The sequence below is a fragment of the Homo sapiens genome, chromosome 10 (genome assembly GCF_000001405.40).
Source record: "Homo sapiens chromosome 10, GRCh38.p14 Primary Assembly".
Classification (NCBI taxonomy): Eukaryota; Metazoa; Chordata; class Mammalia; order Primates; family Hominidae; genus Homo; species Homo sapiens.
In genome coordinates, this window is record NC_000010.11 from 6,961,242 (window position 1) to 6,981,712 (window position 20,471).

Consider the following 20,471-nt stretch of genomic DNA (forward strand, 5'->3'; position numbering starts at 1 on the left):
TGATAAAGACATGCCCAAGACTGGGTAATTATAAGGAAAAAGAAGTTTAATGGAATCACAGTTCCACATGACTGGGGAGGCTTCACAATCATGGTGGAACTTCCATTTGGAAGGAGGGTGGAGACAGATGATAAGGAAGAATGCCATTCTTAATAGAGGGTGGTGGTCCCAGAGGGCCTCTTGGAGGTGGTGTGATTTAAGTTATGATGGATGGCAGCTCAGCCAGCAAAGGACTCAGGAAGTGCACCCAGGAGAGGGCTCAGGCAAAGGCGGGGGAAGTGTGTGGTGCTCAAGCATCAGAAGAGCCATCTGTGTGCCTGGAAGCTTAGTGGAGAAGGGAACAAGGTGACAAGAGATGACAATGGAAGGAGGCAGTGTCCAGACCGTTTGGTGCCTGGGAGACCCCATTCAGGAGTCACTTGGGTTGTAATTCCAGAACAACAGGAAACTGCTAAAGGGAAGACCACAGTTAGACTCCTGCTTTTAGGAGCTCACATTGGCTGCTCCGCTGAGAATGAACTTTAGGGAGACAAAGTGGACTTAAGTTGCCCACTTAATAAGTTGCCCTAGTCCAGGAAGAAAAGGATGAAACCCCGAGGGAAAGGGCAGGCGGCCCCTGATGGGAGACTCTAACGCTGGTATTGAGGGGCGGATTACTGTCTTGGGGTTTTAAACAACTGTTAAAAGAGATCCTTTGATTTGGGAGCTGGAGAATCTTCTGCAACATTCTCAGTGTGTGTTTCTTCTTGGATGAGGTGATAACCTTTGGGTTGAAGCATTTATCTTGCCTTGGCTATAAAAATCTGCAACCGCTGTTATAACCAATCACTTGCTTTCTGCAGCCCTGGGGCGTGCATTTGTCACTAAGTAATAAGGCTTCGGTTAACACTCAGAAGCCCCTATGATGCTTATCAGGGCAGTGCTCCAAGTAGATCTACAAGAGCAGGTCCAAGAAAGGATCCCGACAACTTCCCCTCCAGCCAGGTGGGAACTGACCCAGGGTTTTTAGACACTCCCTGGTGCAAAGCACCCCCAGCAGAAGCACTCCTGCCCTGCCCTTGCCCTATCCCTCCTACCTTGCCCAACCACAGTGATTGCTAGAGGTGCATTCCTTGGGCACCTGGCCCTGTATTGTGGTGAATCCTTGCTGAAAGGACCTGGCTGCTAGAGGGAGACATACAAACCTTCCAGCTTCAGATTCCAGTCACAGCACACCCCAAGTATCAGAAGATGGAGAGAAGTGGATGGATGGAGTCAACATTCTCAGATTTTGGAGTCAGACTTGCCCCAAATATGCCCCAGGTATATAGAACCATATTGAAACATAGTCTGTTCTGCTATACTTGTTTTTGAAAATGCAAATTTGTTCTAATGGGATTGAGATATTAGGGGAACAATCTAAATGCAACGGGAGTTTTCTGTTTTCTTATGTGTGATTTCATCTGGAAAACACTAGCCAAACGCAGCTGCACACAACAGCCTAGGAATCCGCGAAACGCACCCACAATGACCTCAAAGGACAGCTGGCTACCTCAGTGCACCATGTCTGGGCCACACCTGTCCACACCACGTGTCCATCCTTCCCTCCACCTCACATAACCCCCTTCATGGTCTCATAGTAAGGCAGGAGCTGCAATCCTGCCACAGGCAAACTTCAGGGATTTTCCAAGACAGAGTGCCTATGTATTGCAGTATTTATGTGTCTCTTACCCATGTTCTATATGTAAAACTGTGCTGCCCTTTGTATTATGTTCCTGTCTTTGGTTTTAATGTGTCCCTGATGCAAGGTTAGACTGTTTGCCCCAACCTCATTATCCTCATGAGCCCCATGGTTTGGGTGCTGTCGCATAGTAAGGAAGAAATAGGTCACCTTACAGCAACACTACATCTACACCCACGTAGGAAACTTTGTCCCACCCACATGAAGTACCTTTGTCAGGCAAGGTGTGGTGGCTCATGCCTGTAAACCCAGCATTTTAGGAGGTCGAGGCAGGTGGATCACTTGAGGCCAAGAGTTCAAGACCAGCCTGGTCAACATGACGAAATCCTGGCTCTACTGAAAAATATACAAAAATTAGCTGGGCATGGTGGTGCACACCTTTAATCCCAGCTACTTGAGAGGCTAAAACACGAGAATCACTTGAACCTGGGAGGTGGAGATTGCAGTGAGCCGAGATCGCACCACTGCACTCCAGCCTGGGCCACAGAGCAAGACTCTGTCACCAAAAAAAAAAAAAAAAAAAAAAAAAAGAAAAAGAAAAGAAAAGAAATGAAAGAAATGCACTTGTTTAGCAACTTGCTTCACTTGCTTTCCTCACTTAACAGGTTGTGAATGTCACATTATGTTACTATATAGAAATCTAAAAATACATTTATGTATCATATATAAGTCTCCATATAAATAAGATCTATATAGATTTTAAGAAATACACCTTCCTCTGTGTGCATGTGGTATGAAGGACATTTAGGTGGCTTATAGTTTTTGTTGCTGTTGTTATAAATTTTGCCAAACAGACCACTCCTATAAGAATGTCTTTCTGCACTTGGGTGGGTATGGTTGTAAGAAAAATTCCTACAAGTGGAATTGCTGTGTTAAAGACACACATGCTTATGTTTTCATAGTTCTGTCCAATTGCTCTCCAAGGAAGTTATATCAGTGAATAACCATATAACCAACTAAATATAACATTTCCTATTCTGCTGTCATTGGAGATTGTCATTTTTTTGAAGTTTATGAATCATAGAAATACATATTCTAAATAAACAATAGACTTAAATTAATAAATTATTGCTAGAGTCTGAATGTCTGTGTTCCCCCTCCAAATTAAAATGCTGATATTCTCACCCCCAAGGGGATGTTGTTAGGAGGTGGGGCCTCTGGGATGTGGTTAGGTCATGGGAGCAAAGCCCTCATTGATATGATTTGGCTGTGTCCCACTCAAATCTCATCTTGAATTGTATGTAGCTCCCACAGTTCCCACATGTCGTGGCATGGAACCTGAGGGAAGTAATTGAATCAGGAGGGTGGGTCTTTCTCATGCTGTTCTCATGACAGTGAATAAGTTTCACGAGATCTGATGGTTTTGTAAGGAGGAGTTTCCTCACACAAGTTCTCTCTTGTCTGCCGCCATGTAAGAGGTGCCTTTCACCTTCCACCATGATTGTGAGGCCTCCCCAGCCACGTGGAACTGTGAGTCCATTAAACTTCTTTTTCCTTATAAATTACCCAGTCTTGGGCATGTCTTTATCAGCAGCATGAAAACAGACTAGTAGACTCATAAATGCAATTAGTGCCCTTACAAAAGTGACTCCAGTGAGCTCCTTTCATCATGTGAGGATGCAGCAAGAAGGCTCCCTCTGTGACCAAGGAAGTGAACCTCATGTGACCAAAGAAGTGAACCCTCAGCAGACATTGATTGAATTGTCAGGGCCGTTCCCCTGGACCCCAGCCGCCAGAGCTGTGAAAAATAAATAGTTGCTGTTTATAAGCCACTCAGGGCATAGTATTTTATTATAGCAGCCTGAGCAGACTAAGGCAATGGAGCATCAGTATCAGTCTACTAATCTGATGTAATATGTTAATCACAGAACAGACTGGGCATGGGAAGTGTGAGAACTGCGCGATCTTCTCAATTGTCCTATAAATTAAAACTGTTACTAAAAATATGTCAAAAATACATATATTATCTTACATTAGTTGTGTCTATTCATGAAATTTAACATCTTTTCACATGCTTATAAGTCATTTGTATTTTAATTTTGTTAATTCCTTCTTTATGTTCTATGTCCAGCTTTCTATTAGATTATCTTTTTTTTCCTAGAATTTCCAAACTGCCAAAAAAGTTCCACGTTTTCAAATAATATTATTTATCTTTTGCTGTATATGAAATTTGGCCAAATCTGTCAAATTTTATAACCCTTGGGGCTTCAAGGCTTTCTTAGAAAATACCAAACTTTTAACCTACCACTGCATTTAGAATAACTTTATCCACAATAAAATAAACCTAAAATATTTACTTATCGGTTAGTTAGTAAACCAATTGCATTAGTCTCCTTAAGCTGCTGTAACAAATACCACACGCTGGGTGGCTTAAGCAACAGGCATTTATTTTCTCACAGTTCTGGAGGCTGGAAAGTCCAAGACCAAGTTGTCAGAAGGGTTGGTTTCTGATGAGGTCTCTTTCCTTGGTTTGCAGAAGGCCATCTTCTCATTGTATCTTTATAAGTCCTGCTCTGTGTGTGTGTGGAGAGAGAGAGAGATACTGTGTCTGTTTTTATTGGGACACTAATCCTACCAGATTACACATCGTTATGACTTCATTTAACCTTAGTTACCTCCCTAAAGTCCATTTCTCTGAATATAGGCACACTGGGGAGGAGTGCTTCAACTTGTGTTTGACGGGGGGACACAACAGAGACACAATTCAGTCCTTAACATCATTCAACTGATATTTATTGATAGTGGATTAAATACTCTATACTGTGCTTGCTAATCGAGAGAATACAAACGCATGGCCCCTGACATCCACAAGTTTACAATCTAATCTTATAGGCATGAAATAATATTTACAATAATTATAGTTTGGCAGATTCAAGTGCTTCCCCTGAGGGAGAAAAAACAAAACACAGTGTAATGTCTAAACTGTAAAAGTGGCTGGAGACTTGTTTTCCTGCACCTTTCAGGACACAGAGGCGCATCATAAAATTAAACATATCACTGTCATCCTCAATCTGTAGTCAAAAGTGACTTGTGACGTGGATGTGAAGGTGAAGTTATAGAATGTGGCAGAGAAAGAGGAAGAAATACAGGAAGATACTGAAAAAAGTGTACAAACAAGAAATCAAGTATACAAACAAGAAACCAAACCATAGGGATCTGAGGCTACTGCAAAGTACACTCTCTCTGGAGTGAAAGGAATAACAGCTCAAAGTATATGATGCATTTTTTTTCCTCTGAAATCCTCAAAACTCTTCTCAAATATTTATTATCCTCTCATAATCACACTAAGGTAGAAAATAAATATGTTTGCTAGGCTTTTTAAATTTTAATTTCAGATAGCTATAGATAAATACAGGGATCTCACTATCATGAATTTGATTATTAAATATTTTGCTGAATACCTATTTTGCATAAGGTTGCTTTAGACCCTATGGGTATGTAATAAGGACTAGGACATAGCACCTATGTTGGAAAACATTGAAGTCTTAGAGTTAGAAGGAAACAAGAGCTCCTCAATTTGGAAAAAGATTCACCCCCTCTCTGCTTTGGCAACCATGGAGGGCATCACTATTTGACCCCTGACTCATTGCAGCTAAGATCCTCAGAAGTACCCTCAGGATATTTCCCAGAGCTCTGCAAGAAGCCACTCACCACCAGCAGAACCAGGTGGGCACAGGAGTCAACATCTGTCCCTTGCACTGTTCTATGCTGCCCCCTTGAATGGTTTAACAACCTAAAATCCCATGCTGTGCCACTTTGATCCCATGCTTTATTACCGTTGGATTCCCCATAGAATTCAAGAACAAGATGGCAGACAAATTGCTAAACTCAAAAAAACTAACACATTTTACCCGACTTGTTGAGCCTAATTCCAATATCTGCCTTCATTTGACAGCGGATATTCAGAAAAGGACTTAAAAAAATACAAAAGAAACAAACAAAATCCAGTGGATGTGGAAAAGACACATGCCTACTTTTACTTTCCTGGGTCAGAAATGGAAGTGAAAGCAGGCACTTCTCCAACTACCATTCTGCAGGAAAAGATGAGTGCAACAAAGAAACCCCAAATGGCATTCATTAAGGCTACAGAACCAAACTGAATAATGTGAGATTAGACAGCTGCAAATCACCTTTACTGCATATAAATACTGGATCTTGGTGCCTAAGAATGGCAGACAATGCCCGCTGGCATTGGTGAAGATGAGGATTCTGAAGAGAAGTGAAGGAAGGAGGGTCAGGAGGCTCCAGGAATGATTTTCATAGAGAATTCCCCAATACCAACATTTCCCCCTTTCTTTGGGGCTGCAGAGTAATAATGAAACACATTCTATGTGTCGTTTTCTTTGACACAGTGGCTACAATTTGGTAATGATGATTGTCCTTGTCATGATTATTATGGCATTTATTTTACTGTGATTACTTAATCCATCCAACACTATGCTGTGAACTTTTAACAGCTTATTTCAGGTAATGATCTTAACAGCCCTGCTAAGTTGATATTATTGTTCCCATTTTAAAAATGAGGAAATTTAAGACGCTAACGGTTTCAGAAAATTCTCCAGGGAGTGACAAAGTCAGGCAGGATTCAAACCCACATCTGCTCCAAGAGAAAGAAATAAAAAGCATCCAAATCGGCAAAAAGGAAGTCAAACTGTTGCTGTTCACTGATATATGATCGTATACCAAGAAAACCCTAAAAACTCATCCAAAAGCTACTAAAACTGGTAAATGAATTCAGCAAAGTTTCAGGATACAAAATTAATGTACACAAATCAGTAGCACAGCTATTGCAACCCCTTTCACAATAACTGCGGGGGGGTGGGGGGGAGGGGACAAAAAAAAAACCTTAGGAATACACCTAACCAAGGAGGTAAAAGACCTCTATAAAGAAAACTACAAAACACTGGTGAAAGAAGTAATAGATGACACAAACAAATGGAAACACACCCCATGAACATGTATGGATAGAATCAATATTGTGAAAATGAACATACTGCTAAAAGCAAAATTCAATGCAATTCCCAACAAAATGCCCCATCATTCTTCACAGAAGTAGAAAAAACAATCCAAAAATTCATATAGAACCAAAAAAAGGGCCCGAATAGCCAAAGCAAGACTAAGCAAAAAGAACAAATCTGGAGGCATCACATTACCTGATTTCAAACTACAGTATAAGGCCATAGTCACCAAAACAGCATGGTACTGGTATAAAAACAGGCACAGAAGCCAATGGAACAGAATAGAGAACCCAGAAATAAAGCCAAATACTTACAGCCAACTGGTCCATAACAAAGCAAACAAAAACATACAGTGGGGAAAGGACACCCTACTCAACAAATGGTGCTGGGATAATTGGCAAGCCACACATGGAAGAATAAAACTGGATCCTCATCTCTTACCTCATGTAAGATTCAACTCAAGATTGTTCAAAGACCTAAATCTGAGACCTAAAACCATAAAGATTCTAGAAGATAACATCGGAAATAACCTTCTAGACACTGGCTCAGGCAAAGACTTCATGACCAAGAACCCAAAAGCAAATGAAACAAATACTAAGATAAATACATTGGACTTAATTAACTAAAAAGCTTCTGCACAGCAAAAGAAGTCAGCAGAGTAAACAGACAACCCACAGAGGTGGAGAAAATCTTTGCAAACTATGCATCCAACAAAAGATTAATATCCAGAAGCTACAAAGAACTCAAATAAATCAGCAAGAAAAAAACAAACAAACCCATCAAAAAGTGGGCTATGGACATGAATAGACAATTCTCAAAAGAAGATATACAAATGGCCAATAAATATATGAAAAAAATGCTCAATATCACTGATTATTAGGGAAATGCAAATCAAAACCACAATGCGTTGCCACCTTACTCCTGCAAGAATGTCCATAATAAAACAAATAATAGATGTTGGTGTGGATGTAGTGAAAAGGGAACACTTTTACGCTGCTGGTGCAAATGTAAACTAGTACAACCACTGTGGAAAACAGTGTGGAGATTTCTTAAAAAACTAACAGTAGAACTACCATTCAATCCAGCAATCCCACTACTGGGTATCTACCCAGAGAAAAAGAACTCATTATACAAAAGATACTTGCACACACGTTTATAGCAGCACAATTCACAACTGCAAAAATTTGAAACCAGCCCAAATGCCCATCAATCAATGAGTGGATAAAGAGAACATTATATATATATATATATATATATATATATATATATATATATATATACACACACACACACACACCCCCATGGAATACTACTCACCCATAAAACAGAACAAAATAATGGCACTCGTAGCAACCTGGATGGAATTGGAGACCATTATTCTAAGTGAAATAACTCAGGAATGGAAGGTATGTTCTCATTCATAAGTAGGGGCTAAGCTATGAGGATGCAAAGGCATAAGAATGATACAATGGACTTTGGGGCCTCAGGGGATAGGGTGGGAGAGGGTGAGGGATAAAAGACTACATATTGGGTACAATGTACACTGCTCGGGTGATGGGCACACCAAAATCTCAGAAATAACCACTAAAGAACTTATTCGTGTAACCAAATACCACCTGTTCCCCCAAAACTATTGAGATAAATAAATAAATAGCTCAATAAAAAACCCCCACAAAACCATGCCTGCTCAACATGGGTACTCCTTCCCCTCTGACACCCTAATGTTCTCTCTTCATTGTAATTCTGTGGTAAGTATAGAAGCCTGGGGGCATAAATCTGTACTAGAGCTCACAACTTTTTTTTCCTATAAACAGCCAGAGAGTAAATTTCAGGCTTTGTGGGTCAGATGATCATAGCTGTTACTCAGCCATTGTAGCGAAAAAGCAGCCTGAAACAACACAGAAACTAATGAACATGACTGTGTTCCAATAAAACTTTATTTATAAAAACAGGTGGAGGGCCATATTTGGCCCTCAGACTGTGGTTAGTCTATGTCAGTCTGCAAGAATGAGGAGTGGGAGACACGGTTGCAGCAGTTGGAAGAACGTTGCAATGACAAATGAAAGACACCATCTTTAACCTCAGATACTTTAAAATCTAGCAAGAAATGCCAGAAAAAAAAACCGATTTTTTAAAAAAGAGTAGCTTCAGAGAAAGAAAACACATTGAAAAACATAAAACAAATACAATACAAATTACAAAAGCAATTTCTAGGGACAAAAAGGAGTGATTGGTCAGGTATAGTTAAACTAGCTAAAATGTCTTAGACAAAGGAGATTTAAAGCAGGGTTTTAGAGGCAGGATAGAGACTGAATGGGAACAGAGAAGAGAATATATCCCTCTCCACTTAGGCAACTGAAACTTACATGACATAGAAGGGATAAAGGAACTTGGGAAGCACCAGACAGCAATGGATAAACAGCCAAAGGCATTTGTGTGCTTCAAAAAAAGAAGCATAGCAGAAGTAAAATGTCATGCCCTCTACCCAAGGAGTGCCTATTAAAATAAATGTCATCTGCCCAGAATAACAAACTGATAAGACTGAATTATTGATTACCCTATGTAAGTTTTCATCTGAAGTGTTCTGTGGGTTAATGCAATAATCAAATCCATTTCCCCAGTCTGTCCCCTGCTCTTCTCTCTCAGCTTCAATTTCAGCTCTGAATTGTAAAACAGAATGAGGTTTTACTCGAAGCCTCTCTCATCCTACCTTCCGAGTGCTCTCTGCAGTCATCCTAAGTCAGGGCCTGAAAGCTGAGGGAATCAACTGGCCAAAAGGAGAGCAGGCTCCATGCCATTTTTCTGCAAAGCAATTCTCCAATGGAAATTGGATACACTTGCATGATGGCGCTTAATTCCTCTGCTTGAAGCACAGGACTTAGCAGGCTGCAAATCCTCAGCTCCTGTGCAACACGAACACCTGTCAGGGGGCCAGGTTTGCTTCTCATGATGAATTTCCTCTTGCAGGAATATTGTGAGTTGGAGCCGGAAGAGGGGTGCAGTTGTATGGAGGCATCAAATGACCTTGGTCCCCAGCTCACAGATGACCCAGACTAATACCCTAGCAAGGTCAGGGCACAATCTCCCCCAAAAGAGAATATGATTCATTCAGCTCTGAAGTCAATGAGGCAGAAATGGTCTCCCTCTCTGGATTTACTGTTTCTCCTCTTGTGTTCCCACCCATCCTGGGTTTCTTCACTTCACCCCTAAGTTGTAACTGAAGCATTCACCGCTGGCAACACTCTGCTCTTAAATCACATTGTCCTCCTCAATCAAATTTTACCTTAGAATCTTAACTTTCTCTCCTATAAAGCTCCAGGTCTACCTGTAGCAACGTTGAGCTCCCAGAATATTGCTCTAGAATCCCAGTCCCCATTTCTCCCTGCCTAGGAGCCACAGCGACGGCTCTGATTTTCCTTGGATCCTTTAGACAAGACACTGAACACAGAACAACACTGCCCATTACAGTAGCCACTGGCTACCCTCCAGGAGCACACCTGTGGTTTAACAAGTTGGGTTGACCACTCATTGCAGTGAGGGAGCACTCACACCATGAGAACCATGGGACATCTCCATAAGGGGATGTTAGAACCTATTATAGGATGAGGGCTTTGATTGGGTGATTTGGGGGAGAGTCTAAGGAGGCAGAGGTTTGCCCTAGCGTAGGTATCATCAGAAAATACGGCAATACTCTGAGTGGGTATCTCAATCAATCTGATCTAGAGGAAGGCCAGACTAGAGTGAGGAAAAGGCTGGAATTGATAATCATATAGTAGTTACTCAGTGAACAAGAGAAGGGGATGTCTGGGGTTTTGTTGGTTGCACAGTGACCTGGTCTGCATCCATGTCCTGAGAGATTGTTTATGTCAAGCAGGAGAAAATGAGGATTAGCTGTGCCAGATCAGTTTGCAATAACGTATAGACCAAGCTCTGAACATCAAATCCAGTTTCCAGGCATCAAAGTTGCATTTAGTTTCTTTTACACACTGTTCTGTTAAGGAAAAAAAAAAATCAAGGTGTGTAAGTTATGAAACTGTGTGATTTTGGTGATTCTGCATTCGAGTTAAATGATATTTGCATTTAAAATTGGCATTGCACAGTATAAAGACAAACACTGAAATCCATGCTAATCATTTTAATTTTTAATTTTTCTTTACTTCAGTCAACATGGCAAATTTTAAAATGCCATGAATAGTTGAGAGAGGGAGAGGCTTTGAAAGAAAAGAAAAAGCTTTACATTTTAGTCCCACGAATGACCTTTTTTTCTGCTTTTTGAACAAGGTGACCCCCATTTTCATTTTGTGCTGGGTCCTCCACATGACGTAGCTGTTTCTGTTCCCTGTTCTTTATTTCTTTTAACCCTTGACAGTGCCCTAAACAGATATTCTTAAATGTCCTCATTTTCCTTTGTTTTTCAGAGATCACTAGCTGCTGCGTGTTCCCTGTCAGCAAATGTCATAGGGGTCAATTCCCTATGGATGCTTTTAGCGATGACACTTAGGTTAGACAGGGAGGAGTCAACCCAGCCTCCCATTCTCTTCCCGGATCCTGGTCCTTCTTTTCACTGCATAGAAGCAGGAAGAGAACAGAAGCTGTCACAAATCAGTCCCCACTGAGGATTCAAAGCCTCGTGTCTGGACTCCCATCGGTAAGACACATTCCCCAGGCATTACTGTGCTTTTCTGGTTATTTTTGTTTGTTTGTTTTCTTTCATTTTTCCTGGGTCAAAAATATTCAAGTGTCCATTCACTCTTCTGATCAATATCTTATTTGTAAATAATTTTCCAGTTCTTATCGCAAGTTGCCCTAATGATCCCCTGGCAGAAATCTCAGCTCAGATTTGTCTCTGATATAAATGTATAGTCAATCTGTTTCCTACAAAGGCCTTTCTCTATCCTTTTACACAGCAAATCACTTTACAATGTAATTTAGAGAAAGATATTTGAGAAGAGGTTTAAAGTGACTTCGTGGCAAACCAGGTAAGACCAAAGAGATGAACTGCATTTGAAAAATTCAGAATTTTTGACACATGCTCGCTTGCTTTTTCTTAACAGAAACGTCTGCTATGCTTACATTCAGACACCTGAAGGCCTCTGCCCTGAGGCACAAAATGTCAATAGAAGATTCCAGGAGTCCTTGCCCATTTTTTTGGTACCGTATCTGCAAATAGCCCAGACCCATCCTTTTGGGTCAATACAGTTAGCAGGCTGAACAGGAGGCTCTGAATCAAAAGACAGCAGCCTATTTGGATGAAGTGGACATAGGAGGAAATAATGTCATCCATCACTACCACTCCCTCCCCGCAATCTCCATCCCGATCCTGGGGCTAGATTCTCCTGCCATCTGGACATCCTTTCTGAGTGATGTGTCTGGCAGCATAGGTGGTCTTGGCGGCTCTTCTTGGCTGCTACTATTCAAAAGGAGGAAACTGGTTTTATTGGATCTCAACAAAACCTGCCTGCCCCTCACCAAACCACATCATTCTCATCTCTTATTCTTAAGCCTCAAGCACTGAAACCGATGAATTGGGCCTTATTCTGTCAACTGCATTAACTTACGTAGTGAGAAGAAGTTTAGTAACAGCAGAAACTAAACTCTTAACATAGCACTTGCAGAGTATAAAAACTGACCCTAATTTCTTACAGATTATTATTATTATCACATTTAAATATATTGAGTGCTTAGGAAGTACTCTTTAAAAGCATCGTCTCATTGAATCCTTACAAACATGGCAATAAGTATTGTTATTTATATATGTTTAACAGATAAAGGAACAGGTTTAGGAAAATTGAGTAACTAACCAAGGTAAAACAGCTAGCAAGTGGTTTGAACAGAATTCAAACCCAGGATGTCCAGCCCCAGTGAATTTGTTCTCAGTTATTATGGTATAAAGTATTTACACACAATACACATTTACTTCATATACCCAAACGTGTTCATTACAAAACTATAGAACATATTCTCTGCCCTGGAAATACTACAGTTTGCATTTGGAATTTTGATTATTTACAATAAACCCCAAAGTTCATGATACATATTTGCTTGTCATTTTGCTGAGGCATGATCTAAATCTTGCTCACAAGATTTCAATCTTTCGCCGCCACAACATAAGCCCTTGAACCTCAGCCACATCTACAGTTGAAGACGTGAAGAACCTGACTGCACCCGGGGTGGAAAGCCTCAAGACAGGAACGCTAACAACGTACTTCTGCTCACCACTTCCTACAGGCCTGCAGACAGCACAGTGAGGATGCAGGCTTTTCTCGGTTGTATAGGCTCCACAGTTTGTTCAGAACAAATTCCTGTCTCTCCCTGAGGACTCAACCTCAGCAGCAAGTCAGATCTTGACAGCAGCTACCATCTTTCTGTTCTGCAGAAATGTCAACAACATCCATTCTGCCCATCCACTAAAGAACCTCTTGGGCTGTTTTCAAGATTCCAAGGAGCCACCCAGCTGAAGGAAGGAAGCCCTGGCAGGCCACATCTACTTGGGCAAAAAGGGGAAAAGCAACGTGCTTTTGAGTGGAAACACGGTCTTTGTCAATTTCTCCTTCATTAGCCTGGCTAACTTTCCAATGGACAGTGGGAGTTTTTGTTTTTACTAGTGACTGAGGTAGAATTCTTGAGAGAGTGAGAGAGAGAGACATACAGACAGAGACCAGGAGAAAACCAGCCTTAGAAATAACTGAATTCTAGCAGAAAGTGGCAGTCAGTGACACCTATGGCAGTGCAGTCGTGTATGGGATTCCCTTTCTCTCTCTCTACCCTTTTCCACTATAGAGGAACCCATTGATCTAACTCCTTCATGGCAACTTATTCACTGATAAAACCTGCAGGAGAAGAAAAAATTACTCTTGTGTAAGAGGTAGCCTTTTTCATAGAATATACCACAAAAATTAGTTAAAAGATTTGGATTTCAGCACTAGATCTCTTTATTACAGGTCAGTTGTGTGATCTTGCACAGGGGCCTTTTTACCTCACTTAGCCTCAGTTTCCCCACCTGTATAATGAGAAAGAGAATTCCCTGAGGCTTCTTCCAGCTCTTCTCTTCTAAACTATTTTTCAGAAACACAGTCATATAGCTGATTGCAGCTTATGTTTTCCAAAGTAATTCCTTATTTTGGCCCCTGGATTCACCTACCCATGGTCTGTTTGCCAGTGAATCATCCTCTGATTAATGGACAAGTTCTGTGCCTCTCTAAGCTTCAGTTTCCCCTTCGGTCACTATGTTAAACCCCGAGAGACAGCAAAGAAGGCACAGCCATGTCCTCAAGGAGCATGCTATCCAGGAAGGGAGCAGGTCTGCCTAGACAATCTCTAAGGCTTGTTTCAGCTCTGCTGTCCTAGGATTCTATGATTGCAAGCATTTCGGGGGCCACTGTCTTCCACAACTAAGGTTGGTAATAAATAAAATAATTTGTATTTCAGAAGCTGTCTTCAAAGATGCCAAACAGCACAGTGACAACATCTGCCTTCTTGTCCAGTGGAAGACTCTGAAACACCGAGCTGTGAACAGAGTCTTTTAAACCTCCTTTAGAAGACAGGTAGCAGAGAAGCAAGCTCAGGTGTCAGCTGCAAATGGCCTTTTTCTTCAAAGAGTTGTTTAGACTTGAGTTCTTTTCTGAAATTGGAGTGCAAAAGTTCAGAGTTCTACTATGATTCTCCAATCGTTCATTAGTATTCCTGGCCTGTCCTATAATTACGAGAGTCTTTGACTTTTCACCTGTAATAACGCATTGTCCTGGGGACATGGATGCCCTCACACTCTTACTTCCTTCGATCAACACATGTATATGTGACACAGACCAGCAGAAAAAGGACTGGGCCAATGTAACGATCTCAAACAGGTTCAAACCTGCCCCCAGGGCTGTGTCAGCGCCATGCTCTAGCTTAAAGAGCAAAATTAAGTCATAAGCTAAGACAAAGGGCATAAAGTAGACAGGGTCTCTCTGACTTCTCAGACTTTGCAATTCAGGATAGACAATCAAATGAGGCTTTTTCTCACAACTCCCTCAAACACACACACACACACACAAACCTGTGAGTTCCAAAGTGCAAAGGAATCCGTCTGGAATAGCCTAAGGAAGAATGTTCATTCCACTCCTCTCCCTGGCATAACTACTGCCCAACGGGGGAAGCAGCCCTGCCCAATGATCAGGCCTCAGGCTCTGTGGCCAGGCAGGATGCAGGCATCCCAACTCTAGCACCCACTCGTAGGGTAACTGGGTTGGGATTTCTGAACCTTGACTTCCTCATCTAGACAATGGACACAAGAGTGTACTAGCTCAGAGGGCTGGTGGTGAGATTAAGTAAGACAAGATGATAACATGCAGCACCCCAGAGCGATGGCTCAGGGTGTGATATGGTTTGAATCTGTGCCCCCACCCAAATCTCATGTTCAAGTGTAATCCCCAGTGTTGGAGGTGGGGCCTGGTGGGAGGTGGTTGGATCATGAGGGCTGTTTCTCATGGATGATTTAGCACCATCCTCTTGATGCTCTCATCACAATAGTGAGAGTTCTCATGATGAGATCTGGTTGTTTAAGAGTGCAGCACCTCCGCCCTGACTCTCTGGCTCCTGCTCCTGCCATGTGAGACTCTCCTCCCACCATGGCTGCAAGCTTCCTGAGGCCTCCCCAGAACCTGAGCAGATGCCAGCATCATGCTTCCTGTTACAGCCTGTGGAACAATGAGCCAATTAAACCTCTCTTCTTTATAAATGACCCAGTCTCTGGCATTCCTTTATAGCAATTCAAGAACACACTAATACAGGGTGTCAGCAGTTTCTTGTCCTCATGACTCAGACCCTCCCTGCATGGGATCGGGTCTCCCAGAAAGCTTTGTCCTGGTGATTATTTATTTTCTAACTAACAAGGGCATGCTTTTTCTAAAAATTTGCTTGGGCACTCTACCCTCTCTTGTTTATATTCATTTTTAATTATTCATAAATAGGTGGTTAATGTAGAAAATTCAAACACGTAGAGGTCCCTCTTTGAGACTTGTCTTTTCAAACTGTTTAGAATGTATGCACACGAATTTACTCGCTGGAGAAAGTACACACACACACAGACATCATTTTTAACAAAAGTTGTACAGCTATTGTATTGGCTCCTTTAGTTGCTTTTTCCAAGAGATGAGAGAACACAAAAAAATTAAAGGGAGACTTGCATATATCCAAATACAGGTTGTGCTGCTATTACTGGTCTCTTCTTCCCAGGAGTTCTAGAAGATGTTTTTAGGAGCAAATATTAGTGTGCTATCTCTCTACAATTGATTACATTTCCAATAGTAATGATAATGTTATATAATAAAATATCCAGGCAGATAAAAATGATAATTGCTGAATCAAGGGCAAATATTTCAGAGCAAGGATAGATAAGAGGACAAAGCAGAAGCGCTTAAACTGTAACTCAGTAAATCTGTCATTATCCAGAAAGAAGTCTAGATGGTTTGGTTTCAACTCACTTATTGAGTCATATTAATGATAGCTACACATTCAGCTGGGGACCTTTTTCTGGACCCCGGTGTCCCCCAACAAAAAAAATCAAAAGATGCCTGAACTGAGACTGTCAAACCCCACAGGGTGCCAGCCTTGCCCAGAAACTCTCACTCCAGTGGCTTCTTTCTAAGCAGAGCTACACCCGGTCTGAAGTGTCCCCATGGACTGGAAGACCATCTAACAAAAACAATTGCTTCTTTCTGTCTCTTCAGACAAGAGGGAAAGGTTTTGGTGTCATCAAAAATGAAATAATACCATGCTGAAGGGAAAGAATCCCTTTTAAAGGCCATTAAATAAAAGTTGCCCTCCTTGTTGCTAACGGTTTCAATTAACACCGAAATGTGCCACCAGCCTAGCTGCAGCCTCTCCCTGAATCAAGACCGAATCATTGTTTGACTGTTTGCTCAAACACAGAGCTAGACAGGACAAATTTGTTAGCATAATCCCATTTAATATGGTGACTACACATTCTTGCTAGCGGGAGCAAAGTGCATTTGTCAGAGCGATTAAATTGCCGGTATGAAACTCCGGAATTCCAGCTCTTCTTAGCGATTCTAACTTCACATCTACTCAATGGCTCTGATCTCAGATCATCTTTTTCTAGGAAAACCTTCTTGGACCCTGCTCATGTGGGTTAAGAAGACCAAACAGCACGGCAGCATTCCCCAGATTCCTCGTCTCTGTCCTAAGTTCTTTGTGATTCTGGGAGCAGGAGAGCAGGAGGAGACATCAGTGTGAACCATGGGATTTCTTTGCTTGAAGAGGGGACTAATTTCTGTTAAAAGCAAGATTCAGATCTCAAAGAGCTCTGTGCTCTGCGGCAGGTCCCCAGAAAAATAATCTTAATAAAATCTACTGCTGCCCCCTCTCGTTTCTGAGAGGGCAGGGATGGCACCATCCCATGCACCTGACTTCTCTCATCCTCATTGACGGGCACATGCTGGGCACATGTCAAATGAATGAATGAACAAATGAATACACAAACGAATGAATGAACGAATGAATGAATGAATGAATGAGTTTCTGGGTGTGAAAGTAGGCATTACAGGCAGACAGCAAAAGGAGAAGTGGGATGTGATTGTTTCTTCCAAATAAAACATTTTTAAAGTTGTGTCTGTCTATCCTTAATTTTGGCTTCATTGGTTCCATTTCATCTTTTCCTTGCCTCAAACTATGACTCAGATAGGTCCTTAGAAACCATTTTTTTCACCCTATAATTTTAGATGCAAGGAATATGATGCCTGATGAGGTAAAGTTACTTATTCAGGGAAACATGCTAGTTCATTTTTATGGTATTTTACAACATTGTGAATTTTTTATAGATTAGTCTTCTGTGAAAGCACAAAGTCCTCCTGTATCCTCCTGGTTGTCTCCAATAACCAGAACATTAGAGCTTACAGAAAACAACCCTCCTTCCACTTCCAATATGTTAAAATGTGAAAAGAAATGGCTGGTAGAGCATTTATATACTAGGGTTTCGTGAAATCTTACATCCCAATTAATTGTAAGGCACATAACACTGCTAAGAAAAAAAATACTCCAAGCACAACATGTTCTTACTACTTAGAAGTTCTGTGTCACACCTATCAAAAGAGCTCTTTTAGATTTATTTATGCATTTTTAATTTATCTGTCTTGTTCATACCTTAAAAAGAAAATATCAGCAAAATAAATTGGTAGTTGCATTTCTACAACTGCTTCGCATTCAGGGAATGATGCTTTTATATTACTTTTTGGCTCCATTATTGATGGACAGCCTTTTTCACCGTTCTGTCATTTGTACCTTCAAAAGCACTGATGAGACAGCTTTCCTTTCAACAAAAAAGTCTCTCCCTATTGTCTCAGCTTCCCTTCCGAGCCACTGTTCGCCTCTCTGTGAGTTTTGCAGTTGGCGCTCACCTGCTTGGCTGGTGTGAAAGGTGTGATAGGCAATCTTTCTGCATTGTCTCAGAAGGCAGAGACAGGCATCCAGCTCTCCCTGTAGAAGTGTTCTTTTAGATTCCATGAAACACTTGGTTGCTGCTTTGCAAGAACATAAGGAATTGCTGTCATTCCTTTAATGACAAGTCATTGTTTCCCTAACACCAAATGTGCGCCCCACTTCTCTGCTTCCATGTCTTTCTTTGTACACAATAACTTTCCGTGTTAAAGCCAAATCATCTTGCAATCTTCCCAAAGACATTTTAAGCGTCTGTTAAACTCCACACATATGGCTGCGGCAATGCACAGAACGCATTTGCATAGGACCAGATACAGAGGGCGAGAAACAAGTTGGCGTGTGTGCAGGTCAGGGCAGCCTTACTAGGATGGCTAACTGGCCCACAGTGATGAAACAATGACATTACTGTAAGATGCATCCTGACTTCTAATATGTTAAAATGGGGAAAAAAAATGCACACCATAAAAATGAGGAAACAGAAGCAGTTTAAGCCTGTGTCAGAGTTTCTCTGGGGAATCCTTTTGTTCTAGCTTATTATGGTAGATTTTGATGTTTTCGTTAACATTTCAAAAGTGCCTAAAATACCTCACAAAGAAAAGGTAATCAAGGCATTTTTTATTTTTTTTCAGAGACAGGGTTTCACTCTGTAACCCAGGCTAGAGTGCAGTGGTGTCACCATACCTCACTGTAGCCTCAAATTCCTGGGCTCAAGTGATCCTCTCACTTCAGCCTCCCAAATCCCTGAGATTACAGGACTGAGCCACTGCACCTGGGCAATGCAAAATTTTAAAAGGTATCTGCAAGTCAATGCAAGCAGCATTTCTCAACACTGGCTGTGCATTAGACGCAACTGAGAAACTAAACTAACAAACCAACAACCAATATTGGCCCCAAATTGAATCTCTAGGAGTGGGGCCCAGGAACCAGGTAATTTTGGAAAACTCTAGAAGGTTCTAGTGCACAGCCTAGTCTGAGAACCCCTGACCGATATGGGGAATATATAAGGAATCTTCTGGATTTCTAGAAAGCAAACTCCTAGTGCTTTCTATGTGCAATGAAGAGAGTTCACCTTCCTTGGGAACATCTGAATGAAGCAGCAGGTGGCTCCAGGCTTCTTTCATGTGGGCAGTACATGGTGCCAGCACCTCTTCGCCCCTCCTTCTTCTTTCCTCTTTTTTTGACCTCTCTCTGTTTCATGCTGGCTTGGCGACCTTGCTGCACAGATCTATTTTTAGCACAGTTCTTCACTGGGCTTTTAAGTCTTTTAAACTGTGTTATTCAAAAGCGTGTGTGCCCTATCATGCATGGAGAATAGACTTTCCAGGATTCTCTGAACTCAGGTGCTGGCTGCAGTGTTTTCAGCATCCTCACTGTCCTTTGTGTCCGTGGGGCTGGCCTGTCCTGCCTCTGCCTCCCCTGTGTCCTCTGTGAGGTGGTCCCACCTTGTCTGAATCCGTGGTGCTCAGGAAATGAATGAGCAGAATCTCCAGAGGTTGCGCTGGATTCCAGCATCTGCTTTAGTCTTCTCTCTTGTTAGCTGCAGACAACACGCACAGATCAAAACAGAGGGGGCCTGGGTCTGGTGTCCGAGAAAACCCTTCTGCAGTTTTTTTCAGTGACTTCCTTGGGTACCTTAGCTCATGTTGCTTAAATACTGACAAGTCTGTACCACATGTCATTGGGGGTTCCAATCACAAAATGAAAAAACTCCTTTTTAGAAATTGATATGTAATAGTTTCTATCAAATAGAAATAGATATGTAATACATACTTTGGAGGTACACGTGGTATTTTGATACCCGTATACAACGCGTCATGATCCAATCAGGGTAACTTGGATATCTATCACTTCAAACATTTATCTTTTCTTTGTGTTGGCAAAGTTACAGTTTCTCTTTTAGTTATTTTTCAATATCCAATGAATTATTGTTAGCTGTAATTTCTCCACTATGCTATTGACTACTCGATCTTCTTCTTTCTATCTAACTATATTTTTGTGCCCCTTAACCAACTAAAATATTTCATGTTCTATTCATATGTGGGAGCTTACAAAGTGGATTTCGCTGGGCGCAGTGGCTCACGCCTGTAATCCCAGCACTTTGGGAGGCTGAGATGGGCAGATCACTTGAGGCCAGGAGTTTGAGACCAGCCTGGCCAACATGGTGAAACCCTATCTCTACTAAAAATACAAAAATTGGCTGGGTGTGGTGGCGGGCGCCTGTAATCCCAGCTACTTGGGAGGCTGAGGCATGAGAATCACTTGAACCCAGGAGGCAGAGTTTGCAGTGAGTCGAGATTGTGCCACTGTACTCCAGCTTGGGCGACAGAGCAAGACTCTGTCAAAAAAAAAAAAAAAAA

At 41.6% G+C, this 20,471-nt stretch overlaps 1 long non-coding RNA gene across 5 annotated transcripts in view, besides 2 other annotated features; it reads right to left on the reverse strand.

Moving 5' to 3' along the window:
• LOC105376387 (uncharacterized) overlaps positions 1 to 20,471 on the reverse strand; it is a 294,200-nt gene that overhangs the window by 136,972 nt on the left and 136,757 nt on the right. The window lies entirely within an intron of this gene.
• Positions 10,935 to 12,134: an enhancer, noted in NCBI's record as "BRD4-independent group 4 enhancer chr10:7014138-7015337 (GRCh37/hg19 assembly coordinates)". NCBI's record gives its function as "activates an origin of replication core promoter dependent on BRD2, P300/CBP, MED14 and CDK7 cofactors, and independent of BRD4, by STARR-seq in HCT116 cells {active_cell/tissue: HCT116}" and the evidence as "EXISTENCE:reporter gene assay evidence [ECO:0000049][PMID:35650434]".
• Positions 11,935 to 12,104: an enhancer, noted in NCBI's record as "experimental_16612 CRE fragment used in MPRA reporter constructs". NCBI's record gives its function as "activates a minimal promoter by MPRAs in K562 erythroleukemia cells, with activity observed for both the introgressed and non-introgressed 10:7015223 variant alleles {active_cell/tissue: K562}" and the evidence as "EXISTENCE:reporter gene assay evidence [ECO:0000049][PMID:34662402]".